This window comes from Homo sapiens, chromosome 8, assembly GCF_000001405.40.
Source record: "Homo sapiens chromosome 8, GRCh38.p14 Primary Assembly".
NCBI classification, from domain to species: domain Eukaryota; kingdom Metazoa; phylum Chordata; class Mammalia; order Primates; family Hominidae; genus Homo; species Homo sapiens.
The window spans coordinates 60,812,178-60,826,577 of NC_000008.11; the positions used below are offsets into that span (position 1 = coordinate 60,812,178).

The 14,400-nt window shown below is 35.3% G+C and overlaps 1 protein-coding gene across 11 annotated transcripts in view, besides 1 other annotated feature; it reads left to right on the forward strand.

Annotated features, from left to right (window-relative positions):
- CHD7 (chromodomain helicase DNA binding protein 7) overlaps nt 1-14,400 on the forward strand; it is a 189,289-nt gene that overhangs the window by 133,438 nt on the left and 41,451 nt on the right. For 10 of the 11 annotated variants that reach the window (XM_011517553.3, XM_047421945.1, XM_011517555.3 and 7 more), the window contains exons 8-13: nt 4,210-4,324; nt 7,830-7,913; nt 9,613-9,750; nt 9,847-9,968; nt 10,326-10,569; nt 11,663-11,839. The exons of the other annotated variant lie outside the window; for it this stretch is intronic. In XM_011517553.3, coding sequence (XP_011515855.1) covers nt 4,210-4,324; nt 7,830-7,913; nt 9,613-9,750; nt 9,847-9,968; nt 10,326-10,569; nt 11,663-11,839 — 880 coding nt within the window. The remainder of the gene's footprint in view (nt 1-4,209; nt 4,325-7,829; nt 7,914-9,612; nt 9,751-9,846; nt 9,969-10,325; nt 10,570-11,662; nt 11,840-14,400) is intronic. 11 annotated transcript variants of the gene reach the window in all.
- Nucleotides 4,815-4,914: an enhancer, noted in NCBI's record as "active region_27428". NCBI's record gives its function as "activates an Ori minimal core promoter by ATAC-STARR-seq in GM12878 lymphoblastoid cells {active_cell/tissue: GM12878}" and the evidence as "EXISTENCE:reporter gene assay evidence [ECO:0000049][PMID:35858748]".

Here is a 14,400-nt window from a genome sequence, read left to right on the forward strand (position 1 = left end):
TTCTAGCTTTAGTGTCATAGCTAGAAAGCCTTTCCCTATATCCAGATTACAGAGGAATTTGTCCATGCTTTCCTTGTGGTTTCATTTTATCTATTTAGGTGCCTGATCCATTTGGTGTTTATTCTTGTGTATTGTGTAAGTCATGGCTCTAATTTAATTCTTTTTCAATTGTTGTTCTAGCACCATTATTAAAGAGTCAATTTTTGGCCAGGCACAGTGGCTCATGCCTGTAATCCCAGCACTTTGGGAGGCTGAGGCAGGCTGATCACGAGGTCAGGAGCTTGAGACCAGCCTGGCCAACATAGCGAAACCCCATCTCTACTAAAAATACAAAAAATTAGCTGAGCATGGTGGCGGGTGCCTGTAATCCCAGCTACTCGGGAGGCTGAGGCAGGAGAATCGCTTGAACCCGGGAGGCAGAGGTGGCAGTGAGCCGAGATTGCGCCATTGCACTCCAGCTGGGCGACAGTGTGAGACTACATCTCAAAAAAAAAAAAAAAAAGAGTCCATTTTTGACTCAGTGATTTGAGATCCAAACTTTATTTTGTCCTAAAGTTTTTATTTATTTATTTTATTTATTTTTTTATTTTTCTTTATCTGTACTTTATGCCTTTGAACTGCTTGTCTATTTATAAGCCAGTACCACACTGCTTAGGGAGGCTTTATAGTGTATTTTAATATCTGGTAGATCTATTTCCCTAGTAGCTTTTCTGTTTTATTGTTTTCCGGGATATTCTTGCATGTTTATTTTTATATATAAAATGTAATACTGTTTAGCCCCATATAAATGCCTGTTTGCATTTTATTTATTTACATTGTGTTAAATTTACAAATGTATGATGTTGAGTTACACAGTGTGACAATGATGTCTTTTCAGTTGGTCCAGTTCTACTTTTGTGTCTTGTAAGAGTTTTAAATATTTTCTTATACAAATTGTACACATTTTTAATTAAATTTATTGCTAAGTATTTTATCTTTGTTGGTATTGTGAAAGAGGTTTTCTCTAACATATCCCCTTATTGGTAATTGTTGTTGTGAATGAAGACAATATGTTGGCTTCTGTATGCTAATTTTATATTCTGCTACATTGCTGGATTATTTTATTATATGAATTAGTTTTCTAATTGATTCTCTAGGGTTCTCCAGGTACCTGATCATATAATCTGCAAACAGAGATAGCTTTACTTATTATTTTCTAATTATTATGTCTCTTATTGTTTTGACTTGTCAGTTACATTGGCTAATAACCTCAAATACAATATTGAATAACAGTGGAGATAGTAGGTATCCATGCTTTCTGATTTTTGTGGAAAACTGTGGTGTTTCTTCATTTAGTAAGATCCTGTCTTTAGAACCAAAATCTTCAAATATGTGTTAACAAAATACCTATCAATTCCTATCTTCCTAAGCTTTAAAAAATCCATTATGGGTGTTAAAGTTTGTCAAATGTTTTTGCAGTGTCAATAGAAATAATTGTGTGATTTTTCTCCTTAGATATATTAATATTGTGTATTTTTAGTGAATTTCCTAATGTTGAACCAACCTTGCATTCCTGAAATAAGTAACTACTTGGTCATGACATATTATTGTCTTAATGTGATGTGGAGTTGTGTTTGTTAATATTTTACTTATATTTACTTATAACTATAAATATTTATAAGTATTATAAATATAAATATTTACTACTTTGCACTGATATGGGTAAGGGATATGCTCTTTCTTTTTTAACTGTCAAGATTAGGTATAAATATATACCTGTTTCATAAAGAGTAGTTACATTTTTAAATGAAATTTTGTTTTCCAAAGTGACCATACACTGTATTATCTGTAGGGCCTAGTTCAGATTATTTCTTATTAGCTTCATAATATTTTTCTTACATTGACTTCTTCATAACTTTTAAAAAATATTTTAGTTCTAGTCCAGTTAGGACGTTTTCTTGCCTTAATTATCTATTCAGACAAAGCAGTCGTATTTTTGACCCTTTATTCTTCCTTCCTCTTCTTCCTAAGCCTCCAGAATGGGTTATCATCAGAGTCTAGAAAGCAGAGTCACACTGAAAATTTCATCCCAGTTTATAGCAGATAAAGCAGGGCTGGAGCCACTTGCTTATATGCTTGTGTCCAGTTCAAGGCTACACAGGTGGTGCTTTGAAGGCTTTTGCACCTCAGCCAAGGCAAGAATACTAACTGACTGACTGCACATGTGCCTTTTTCTGTCAAATAATTTGGAGACTAGAGCAGATTATTTTTATAATATGTGTTTCTTTTTGTGTGTGTGTGGCAGGGGGAAGAGGGTCTCCCTCTGTCACCCAGGCTTGAATGCAGTGGCGTGATCTCAGCTCACTGCAACCTCCACCTCTGGGGTTCAAGCAATTCTCCCGCCTCAGCCTCCTGAGTAGCTGGGATTACAGGCACATGCCACCACGGCCTAGCTGATTTTTGTATTTTTAATAGAGTTGGGTTTTCACCATATTGGTCAGGCTGGTCTCGAACTACTGGCCTCAGGTGATCTGCCTGCCTCGTATAATATGTGTTTCTGATTATGACAGTATTGCATATTATTTATTGGAAATTTGGAAACTACAAGTTGAAAGTAGAAAATAAAATACTTGCAGTCCTAGCACCCAGAAATAATAAATACAGGTTGAGTATCCCTTATCTGGAATGGTTGAGATCAGAAGTGTTTTGGATTTTGGATTTTTTCAAATTCAGAATATTTGCATTATGCTTTAATGGTTAAGCATCCCAAATCTGAAATCCAAAATGCTCCATTGAGCATTTCCTTCAAGTTCATGTTGGTGCTCAAAAAGTTTCGAGTTTTAGAGCATTTTGAATTTCAGATTTTCAGATTTGGAACCTGTATTAGCATTTTGATGCAATTTCATCTAGTCTGTTTTCTGTGTGTGTATGTACAGCATTTATATCAGTTCATAGCTATGTAAGTCATATGTATTTAAAATCCTTTTTTCCCTCAATTATAGAAGGACTAAATGAGTCCTATCTTTGCAAATCATATTAGACATGATTATCAGTTATGTGCTACTTAATATCATAAGCATTTCCTATATCATGAATCATTTTTGAAAAATTTTTAATGGTTGTATAATTTTTGTTTTTACTTTTTCTTGTTTTAAACTTCTGACTTCTGTGAACTAAAGCACAATTTCTAAGAGTACTAGTATGTTGATTCTGAAAGGGGTATATATATTCAAGATATAATTTCTTTTTAATATTGTCATCAGAAAGAGAAATAAGAGGCTCTCAAGGCTGTTTGAGGGGCAGGGAGAGGGTGATGGGACAAAAGAATATTGAAGAACTAAGCAAAAGAATGTCAGAGTTGCCATAAAACATTAACTGTGTACCTGTGAGTGTTGGAGAAGAAAAGGGAAGTGCATATGTATTCCAGTTCAGGTGAGGGAAGACACCATGCATACTCAGAGGAGGGGATGGGGAGTCTTGAGGGGAGGGGGTTTGCCCAGTGCAGGTATAGATGATAGCAAGGGAAACATTCACAGGGGACCAAGGAATATCATTGCAGAAATCCTGGAGGAACACAGTCTGGGAGACCAGGAACTGATAAGAAGCTGGTGAGGGGCATGGCCCAGTGTTCCAGGAGCAGACAGTGGTTCTTTCCTCCTAGATTTTTCTAGAAGGACCAGGTTAGGTTTCCCTTTGGGACCAGTATGATAGGCCTTGGGTGACTCTAGGGCACCCTACACCTCTTATCTCCAAAGAAACTGCTATTTTAAATTTGAATTATTTTAACTTGATAAAAACCTATTTCTCAATGATAAGAGGTTCAAAGTATAAATTCAGAATTAAGGCCTCCCTGTAGTGCTAATTTTATATTGAAGTATAATCCATTCACTTATGGAAATAGCTTGTTATTAGGCCATTCTCTCTCTTCTCTGTCTCTTTTGTCTGTCTGTCTGTCTGTCTCTCTCTCTCTCTCTCTCTCTCTCTCTCTCTCTCTCTCTGTAACAGGTAAGAGAGCTGGAGGCTTAGGACAGAAGGCAAATTTTAGGCACTAATATTGATTTTCTCTTCTTATTCTAAACAGTGGTGGGTATATTAAATGTTGCTCAGCAGCCTTAATGGGTAATTAAGCAGGTTATTTTAATTATCTGTGTAGTTGACTTTTTTGAATAAGACATAATAAAGGATTAATTATATTCTACATATTTCAAGGATATTGTTTTGTTCTTTCAGCTCTTATCTTCATTGTCAGTGGGCATCTATAGAAGATCTGGAAAAAGATAAGAGAATTCAGCAAAAAATTAAACGATTTAAGGCAAAGCAGGGCCAGAACAAGTTCCTTTCAGAGGTACGACATACCTGCTTACTTTTCCAAAGTATTTACTTTGTTAAAATGTTCTAAATTTAAAATTTTAGTTCCATGAATTAAGAAAAACTAGTTAGTCTCATTTGGTGCTGTCAACTTGCATATTGGTAACTGGTTCTTGCTAACAAATTTGTAAACAGGAAATTTCTCATTCTTCCTGTTGCTTAGGCTAGAAGATATGGGTCCTTATGATATTATGTGGAAATAGCGGTGATGGTATGATAAAAATCGTGTAATGAAAGTACAGTTAGCAGATGATGAAATTAAGTAAGTGGACAGAAGTTCTATTGAGATTTAGCAGGTTAAGAAATCTACAATGTTAAGTACAAGTTCTAAGATACAAAAGCTTGACTTCTGTTGGGGAAAGTATGTGGCAAATTTCTTTTGTTGAAGTCAATGCCTAATTACAGAGAGTTCACTAAACTCATTTTCGCAAATGCTGTGCTGTAGTGTAGAAACTGGTAATAATATCTTTGCCTGTGTCCCTTTATCCCAGGTATCAGTATAGAAGTACAGCAATACCTAGGGCAGAGAAGAACATCTGCATTTACTAGAAGTGCCAGTTCTGCCCTCTGCCTCCTCAGTATAGTCAATTACATTTTTTAAAAAGTGCTTTCACAAGCTGCTTACTAGGGTCTCTGGACTTAGGATCGCCAATTTGGTTTCACTTACAGCCTCAAGTAGATAAAAGAAAAACCCTAACATTGAAAGATAAGACTTGCTGATTTATTAGTTCCTCTTTTCCTAAAAGAGTTGACAGAATGTAGACTTTATGTAAAAGAAGCGTACAATTTGATGCAAAATAGTATCTGTTTAACAACCTACTTTGTACTGCCACCCCTTTTTGGAGATGAAGGAAAGTGGGACAGAAGAGCACTTAGTACTTTTATGTCATAAAATTCTTATACTATCAGGTAGCAAGTCTGTGTTCTTCTGGGATCTGATTTCCATGGTCCCAACTGGCCTATGGTAAAGTCCGCATTCAATGGGAGATCATGTGGTTGTTCTTTTACTGGACACATGTCTGCATCACTACCCCTGGCACTCTGAGTGTGCAGCATTTTTGGCAGTGCAGTGTTTAGGACCGAGTGGAATGGAGTTACTCGAATGTGACTCAATTCATAGATCTTGGAGAATATTAAGAAGATTCTTCAGAAGAACTTGGAGGAAAATTCTTTTGAAGAAAGAATCTTAATATTTGATTTTGAGGACAATGCTGTGAGATTCTATTTTTCATGCCCTTCTTAATGAAACCAGAGTTAAATTTTTATGACATTGGATGAGCTGAAATCATTAGCCTCCTTTTAGAAAGAGACACCCTGTGTTCTGCTGACCTTTTCTGTGGGCCAGGGGGAGGGAGACAGGCAAAAGCGCAATGGTAGCTTTCCCCCCATCCCTAAATCCTGGTCCTGTTTATTAAGTTTATTTGTATTCTCTCTCCTGTAGTCACACTGTCTTTAGGAAATTGTGCCTAGCCCTAGCTACACATACCAAGGTTGAATGTACATTATTTACCTGGTAACTTGGCAGCTAGAAATCTTAGTTTCTGTCCTGAGTGGGAGTTAGCAGAGAAGGATAGCAATCCCCTTCCTCCCTCTCTTTTATACATGAAAGTGCACACGCCCCCGTTTGTTTCATCCCATACATGATCATGGCTTCAGGTGTTCCATGGCTGTACTGCTTTGAGATTTTCAGTTTCAGCTGCTTTTACATTCTTTGTTTCTCCTTAGGCTGCCTTACAAGCCTGCTGCAACTAAAAATGTCTATTCAAAAACATCATTTAGACTGGAAATTTCGTCACATGTGTGATGCCGCAGATTACTCACTTAAAGGGTAGAAATGTGTAGGAAAAGTTAAGGATTTTAATTCAGCACTGACTGTGAAAGCTTATGTTTAAGAACAAGTTTTCCTAAAGAGAGTTTTTGCCATCCAAACCTAGTTTTGGGAAAGTTTAAGTGTTTCTGCTGTACATGGATAACACGTGTGTTTACCTACGTCTAGAAGCTTTTGAAAAGCCAGTGCATTAATACACTAATACTTTATATTAATTGAACATTTCAATGGATTTTTTTTTGCCTTACTAATCTACCTCTGTGTAAAAGCCTGAGATACTTGAGACATATGTTTGTGTTTCTGCTTTTTGTTTCATAATTCATGGTTCAAAGCTTCCCAACTGGGTGTTTTAAGAGGGCCGAATAGCCAGAGAAAGTTTGTTGTTCTTGAGCAGATGATGACTGAACTGCTTATCTTTTCCACCTGCAATTCAAGGGATAAGAATGGTGTCTAAGTGACTTCTAGTTTACCTTTTGCAAAATATTTTAATGCAGTTATGTTATTGATAAGTTAATTGAGAGGTGCACATAATAAAATGTGTCTTTTGTTTTCTAACATCTGAAACTTGTCTGACCCTAACTTCTTTTGGGTATGGCTTAGTCTATAACTCTTTTTTTGAGACGGAGTGTCGCCCTCTGTCACCTGGGCTGGAGTGCAGTGGTGCGATCTCGGCTCACTGCAACCTCCGCCTCCCGGGTTCAGGCGATTCTCCTGCCTCAGCCTACCGAGTAGCTGAGATTACAGGCACCTGCCATCATGCCCAGCTTATTTTTTGTATTTTTAGTAGAGACGGGGTTTCACCATGTTGGCCAGGCTGGTCTTGAACTCCTGACCTCGTGATCCGCCTGCCTTGGCCTCCCAAAGTGCTGAGATTACAGGCGTGAGTCACTGTGCCCAGCCTATAACTTTTTTTTGAGTCATATTCTAGTGTTTTATATGAGATACCTTTGCAGGCAGCAGTATTACTTTACTTTTGTAAAGATTGTTTAATATATTGGTTAAATGAGCCAATTATTTAGGCTTCATTTCGTTATCCTTAATACTTTTGCCTAAACACACTATATTCAATGTAAATCATTAGAAAACAGATTAATGATGAGACTGTGATTCTAAATGAGGTACTAATATTGGTTGACAAATACTACCAAACATTATAAACTCTGATCATGCTAAAATATGAAATTAGCTGCTTGCAGTGTATTTGGCTTTTGAATAACATTTTGTAGATATGCTATAAGGCATCGGACAACTCCAGGAGTTACAATATTCCAAGTAACACTTTGCATGACTCTGATTCTTCATTGCAAACTGTAGTTTCGAGAATGCTAAATGCATCGCATGCCATAAGCCTTTTGGATTGCTCATTAGTGAATTGTAATTTCACACTTCATTTAAAATATTCTTAAACATTCTCTCACAGTAAAAGGTTTCACACGGTAATTAAAAGACCCAGTTAACGAAGTCTGAGAAGTCTGATTTCCTCATGGGGAGTGATTTTGCTAAATTGTAGCATTTCAATTAATATAATAGAATTTGCCAAATGTAAGTTTTATATTGCTGTGACCCAAAATATTATTGCTTGGTGAAAAGTGGAATAGTATTTCATCTTAGGAAATAAGTAAACCTTTAACTTTTTTTTTTCCCTTTGGTGTAGATTGAGGATGAGCTTTTTAATCCAGATTATGTGGAGGTTGACCGGATAATGGACTTTGCACGTAGCACAGATGACCGGGGAGAGGTAACAGGAGATCATTTGTATTACAAAGTGGTGATTCAGGCAACCCATACATGTTTATAGAGAAGATGGTAGAATCCTAGACCTGGTCTTGGTCAGAGCCTTGGACTGTGACACACTTGGTCTAAATTTAACTGAAACTTAATGATTTATTATTAGTTTTATGACTTAATAATAGTGCTAAATATGTTTTATGTTTAGTCTGAGAACTTTTTTAAAAAATTGATTTTCAATATGAAAGAAATACATTGACATTTTGCACAATTCCACAATATGATAAAGAATTCAGTACATTTTGGTATAAATCTGTCATGTAGCACAAAGTATCCTTATATAATTGAGTGTCTCTTGTGGCAGAATGGAGTTTAAGGTTATTTAGAATTGGGCATCATTAGTGAAGTTGATGAATTCATTTAATGTGGTACACAGAGGCTAATAGACATTATTTCTCTTAAAAGATCCTAGTCTCAACACTCTTATTTTGCTTTGCAAAACTCTGTAAGATTATAAGGGATATTTGATAGGGAAGTAAGAATGAAGACAAGTGTAGTGACTTCTGAGTATTGTGTCTTGATAATGATGTGCCCACCCACCATGAATTGTGTCCTTCCTGGCTTCTCCATGTAAATTGAATTTTATATATACAGTGTTTGGATCTTGCTTTTCTAGGGAGGGTCTGCAAAGAACTCTCATTTTCTTCCAAACTCTGTGTCATGACACTCTATGATGTTTCCAAGACCATATCTGTAACATGATCTTTACTTTTCTAATTTTCCTTAGTTATACTTCAAAAAATTGTTTCATAGCATATTTACATTGTACAGGAAATATTTTTCACATCACAACTAGGTCAGTGTTCCTTGGTCCTGAAATGAAGGTCAACAAACCCAAGTGTTTTCTAGAGGAAAGACAAAGGAAATCCTGTTGATCTGCATTACCTGAAATATTTTGCCCTCCACCCTTATAAAGCTCAAATATGTTATTTTAATGTGATTGGACACAAACAGTATCACTCTTTTTAAGGAAAAGGTAGAGATCCTAATAAATTTAAGCGTATGTCTCATTTTTTAAGAAACCAGCCAATTATGTAAACATTGAAATATGCTAAGATGATTTACCATGTAAGTCTGAATCAAACTCCTGATGAAAGATTTGTACAGATAAAAAAAATCTCAAATTCAGCTTTGCTATTTGCTAGCTATTTCTTTATACTTTTTGGCTTTCGAACATCACTTACCAATGATTTTGATAAAAGGCTAATTTGTTCTGATAATGCCCAATAATACTGTTTCCAGTTTAGACTTGAGACTCTTAACTAGGAACAGCTGTTTATGGCCATAGTTTTTAAATTTCTGTCAATTCAGACTTACTCATGCTGGGATAATGTCTATTGATAAATGAAGTAGAGCATGCTTTTCCTTAATGTGTATGTAAATATACATGTATATGTATATATGTATATATATAAGCATGTATATACACCTATGTGTATGTATAAGCATATATACACACATACATATGTATAAACATATATATACATATGTATATGTATAAACATATATATACACATACATATATATGTATAAACATATATATACACACATACATATCTATATGTATAAACATATATATACACATATATATGTATATGTATGTATGTGGTCAAATGAATCCAATTCTGATTTATTTAAATCTGGTCCAGCCTGTGACTCACTATCTGGTGAAGTGGTGTTCACTTCCTTATGAAGACAGCACGTGGGAGCGGAGGCAGGACATAGATCAAGCAAAGATCGAGGAGTTTGAGAAACTAATGTCCAGGGAGCCGGAAACAGAGCGTGTGGTAAGAATTGGCTGATGGTAGAGAATTTAATTTGAAAATAGCATAGTGGTGTGGTCTTTGGGAAACCACTAATGGGATTTACTATATTTGAAACAGGAGCGACCTCCTGCTGATGATTGGAAGAAATCGGAGAGTTCCAGGGAGTATAAAAACAATAACAAACTCAGGGAATACCAGTTGGAGGGAGTAAACTGGCTACTTTTCAATTGGTACAACATGTATGTAAAACAAGTTTTTCTTCACTTTTAAATATATCTGTAGTTCCTTTCCTTTAGTTATTGAAAATAATAAAAAAGAACTTAATGTTTTAACTCTAATAAGAGCTTTTTCAAAAAACAAGCATTGAAAATATATGTAATATTTAATAAATATTAATACAGAGATTGATATAAGTGTGTAAAAATAATTTTTATTCTTTGAGAATTTTGTTTGAAAATATATTTTGTTGAATCTAAGAGAACATCTAAAGCCTTTGGGTATGCATTTGTGGGTACAATGGTATATATTTTGTGAAATGACAGCAGTGTGTCATATCCATACTCATTAAACTTTTGTACTTCATTTTCCTCCTAAAGGCGAAACTGCATTTTAGCAGATGAAATGGGTTTGGGAAAAACTATCCAGTCCATTACATTTCTCTATGAGATATATTTGAAAGGAATCCATGGCCCTTTTTTAGTAATTGCCCCATTGTCCACAATCCCCAACTGGGAAAGGGAATTCCGAACCTGGACAGAGTTGAACGTGGTTGTGTATCATGGGAGTCAAGCTAGTCGTCGGACCATTCAGTTGTATGAAATGTACTTCAAAGATCCCCAGGTAAACCTTCACAGGTTGTATTCTTTGTACTTACTCTGTGCATTTTAAGGTGTTAAAAAAAAATCAAAGTCTTGGTGACTTGGGAAGGTCTAAATTTTGCCAAATTGAGAAATTTGCTTTAGATATCTGACTCAATTTACATTTGTATTATCTTTCTGTGTCTATGAAAACAGCTCTTCATTTTTATAGCTTTGGTTTTTCTGATTATTAGATTAGAAGGAATGAAATTTTTTGCCTTGGATGATCACTGAAATCCATTTAATGCTTTGATATGTTAATTAGTTTTATTTTGCAAGCCTAAGAGAAAACTAAACAAAAATTGGTAATATTAAATGTGAATAGAAAGAATATTTTATTATGCTATTGCTAGAAGTGAAAAATAGTAAGCATGTAAAAAGTCCTTGAAATATATGACACATTGAATGAAACACATCCCAAGGGAGGAATTTATGCTTTGGCTGTTAGTAGCAATTGCTTTAATTTTTTTCTTACTCTAGTTACCTGTATGCCATTAGTGTGTATCAACAGTGAAGTGTTATAAATGACATGATAAGGAAGAATAATATGTACTAAAATAGTTTTATGTTATGGGTAGTAAATGGAAGTCCTGTAAATAGGATCTTTGCTATATATATGTTTTTGCTATATATAGATAGATAGATAGATAGATAGATAGATAGATAGATAGATAGATGTGTGTGTGCATGTTCTAAGTATAAAATCTGACCTACAATTAAATAACTAAAGGAGAAAAAATATTGAAATCTGTGTTTATCTTTAGATTTGGGAAATTATTATAAATTCTGTCCTACGTGAATGTGTGACTAGAATGGGTACGCTTAGTGGTAATTGATGCATGTGCTCTGTTAGGAAATTAGATCCAAAATTTACTGACAGTTTTCTCATTTGTTTTCCAATTCTGTTTTACCATATCGTTTAAAACTGCCAAAATAACTTGAAAACAGAATGTATGTCACCTAAAATAAAGAGATCTCCAAAGGGATAAATACGTATGTTTTATGCTATTTATTCATCCTTAAAGTTATTTATGTAACCATTAATGCTTAATAATAATTCAGAGTTGTTCTTATAGGGTCGAGTGATAAAGGGGTCCTATAAGTTTCATGCCATCATCACTACATTTGAGATGATTTTGACTGATTGTCCTGAGCTGCGGAATATTCCATGGCGCTGTGTAGTCATTGATGAAGCCCACAGGCTGAAGAACAGGAACTGCAAGCTGTTGGAGGGACTCAAGATGATGGACTTGGTCAGTGACCATATTGGTGATTGCACTGAACCTGAATAGAATTGTTGCTGACTTGATAGTCCCGTTGCTCAGAATTTGATGCCTGTAAACAGTATTTGAAAAGCTTGTCAAATATTGTGATATATTCTCTGGCACTTTCAGTTATTCAAAAGTTGTTGCCTTTTGGATTCTTACATTGTTGGCTAGTGTCTGTTAAACAGTTGTATTATAGCAGAGTGTAATCATGATAGTTTCACTAAAGTGAGTTTCAAGTATTTGTTTTACCCTTTGTTCATAAATACAGGTTGATCATACCAAATACAAAAATCCCAGAATCCAAAACGTTTTGAGTACCCACATAATGCTAAAAGGAAATGCTCATTGGAGCATTTTGGATTTTGGATTTTCTCATTTGGGATGTTCAACCCGTAAGTATAAATGCAGATATTCCAAAATCTAAAAATATCTGAAATCTGAAACACTCTGGTCCCAAGAATTTTGGATAAGGGATACTTAACCTGTACTGCCATTTCATTAACTGTTGGGCCAAGCTTTACTTCAGTGATGATAGTCCAGTTATTTTTCAGTGCTCATAGGTTTTGCCATACTGTGGCCAGCAGGACTTGTAGATGCAAGTTCTCAATGAGTTGGGTAGGATATCTGGGGTTGGTTTAGTTCGCACAGATGCTTAGAAGTTTGGGGCATTACAGTGCCTCAGATTTGATCTGGAGTTTTACACCACACTTATCCCATAGTCTTCCAGCTTCCCAAGAGATGATCAGGTCTTCCTGATTAGATTTTCTAGATTTTTTTTTCAGCAGGAGCATCATGGAATAACATATCGTAGGAGTAGAAGGATTTGATTTATTTTCTGTCTGATACTGCTGTGTGTGATTTCCTAGTGGGAATTGCAACATGACCTGTCATCCTCAGGCTTCTTTTCACTCCATAGTTTATATAGTGGTTATGATCACTTATATTTTATTTTTAATGTACATTTGGAAAGCAAAGCTCCTGTCATTTAGCATGCCTTGGATGATTTGATGAGTTTCACGGAAGTACAAAAAGGGTTTCAAAGTATTTTTAATGCTAATTTCTGCAGGCTAATTTGATCTTTTGTTAACTGAGAGTTTGAGATGAGAAGGAGTGTTCTGTATATTCATGGCCATATGTTTTTAGCTGAAGACTGGTATTACCAAAAAACACCTAAAAGCTTTTTGTTGCAGCTGATTCTCTGAAAGAGCAGCTTATTTTATTCTTAAAGAGATTAGAATTGCCAGCTATGCTTTTAGTTTAAAACAAACAAAATCTAGTTTTGCTTAAAGGAAAAAGTCTGACTGAATTATCCTATTTAGGGTGGGATTTCCCATTTTTCTTCCTAATGAATTATTATTAAAGCGATCCTAAGATCTGTCTCAAAGCAGTTGACTATTATTTGGTGGCCAATACACAAAACAAGTGAGAGCGCTTAGAAACAGTGAATAGTCTCAGGGACCTTGGTAAGCATATGGAAAAGAGAAACTCTGTGTTTGTATTTGTTCACTCCAGGTGATACTTAAGCATTAAAATGAAGTAAACTTGTATTTGCAGGTAAACACTAATGCTTGTGATATAACCTAAATATATATTCTCAGTAGGGATCCACCTTCATAGTTTTCTACTAAGAGACAGTTATGTCACCATTTCCTGAAGGCTTAAACAGTCATCTGACTGAACTTATCTGAGTTGTGTTCTATTATTAGTTCATGTGTTCCCAGATAGTAAATTCTTACTGTAAAACATTATTTCATTGGTGAGTACACATTAATTTAACTCCATCAAGATCAAACAATCTGATTGTCATTGGGCTATTTTTTTTTTTAATTTAAGTTCTAGGGTACATATGCAGAATGTGCAGGTTTGTTACATAGGTATACATGTGCCATGTTGGTTTGCTGCACCCATCAACTTATCATTTACATTAGGTATTTCTCCTAATGCTATCCCTCCCCCAGCCCCCCACAATCTTTGGGCTATTTCAAAGAGTTTTCTATTATTTATACTAACATTTGATAAATGGATTAGAATCTGTTATCCAAATAATTTTCCTATTACATATTGCAGTGTTCTTAAGCTTTTTCACATAATGGCACGTATAGAAAATGATAGTAGTTGAATGCCACACTCAGGTAAAAAGAGAAGGCTGCCCACTGCCACGGGACACCACCAGTCCTGGGTGTCCTGACCTTCCCCAAGGACTTATAACCTGTACTCATCCTTGACTCACCAACTGGGAAGCTCTGATTAGCACATGAACAAAATATTTATTTTTCTAATGATGAAGAATTTTTATTTGAGAAGAAATGTTTTCAAGATGGAACACATTATTGTTCAGAATATAATTATGTTTGTCCAATTCTGAACAGCTCGTTGTCTGGTCTTTAAATCCTTACTTAAAATAAGCATCTTGAGAACTTAGCCACTTTCTACTTTTTATTCTTTCCTAGAATAAGTCACAGTCAAAATAGTGGTTAGTAACTATATCCAACTACGGCACAGGCCATAGGGAACTGCTGTTACCTGCACTAGACTCAGTTGCGATG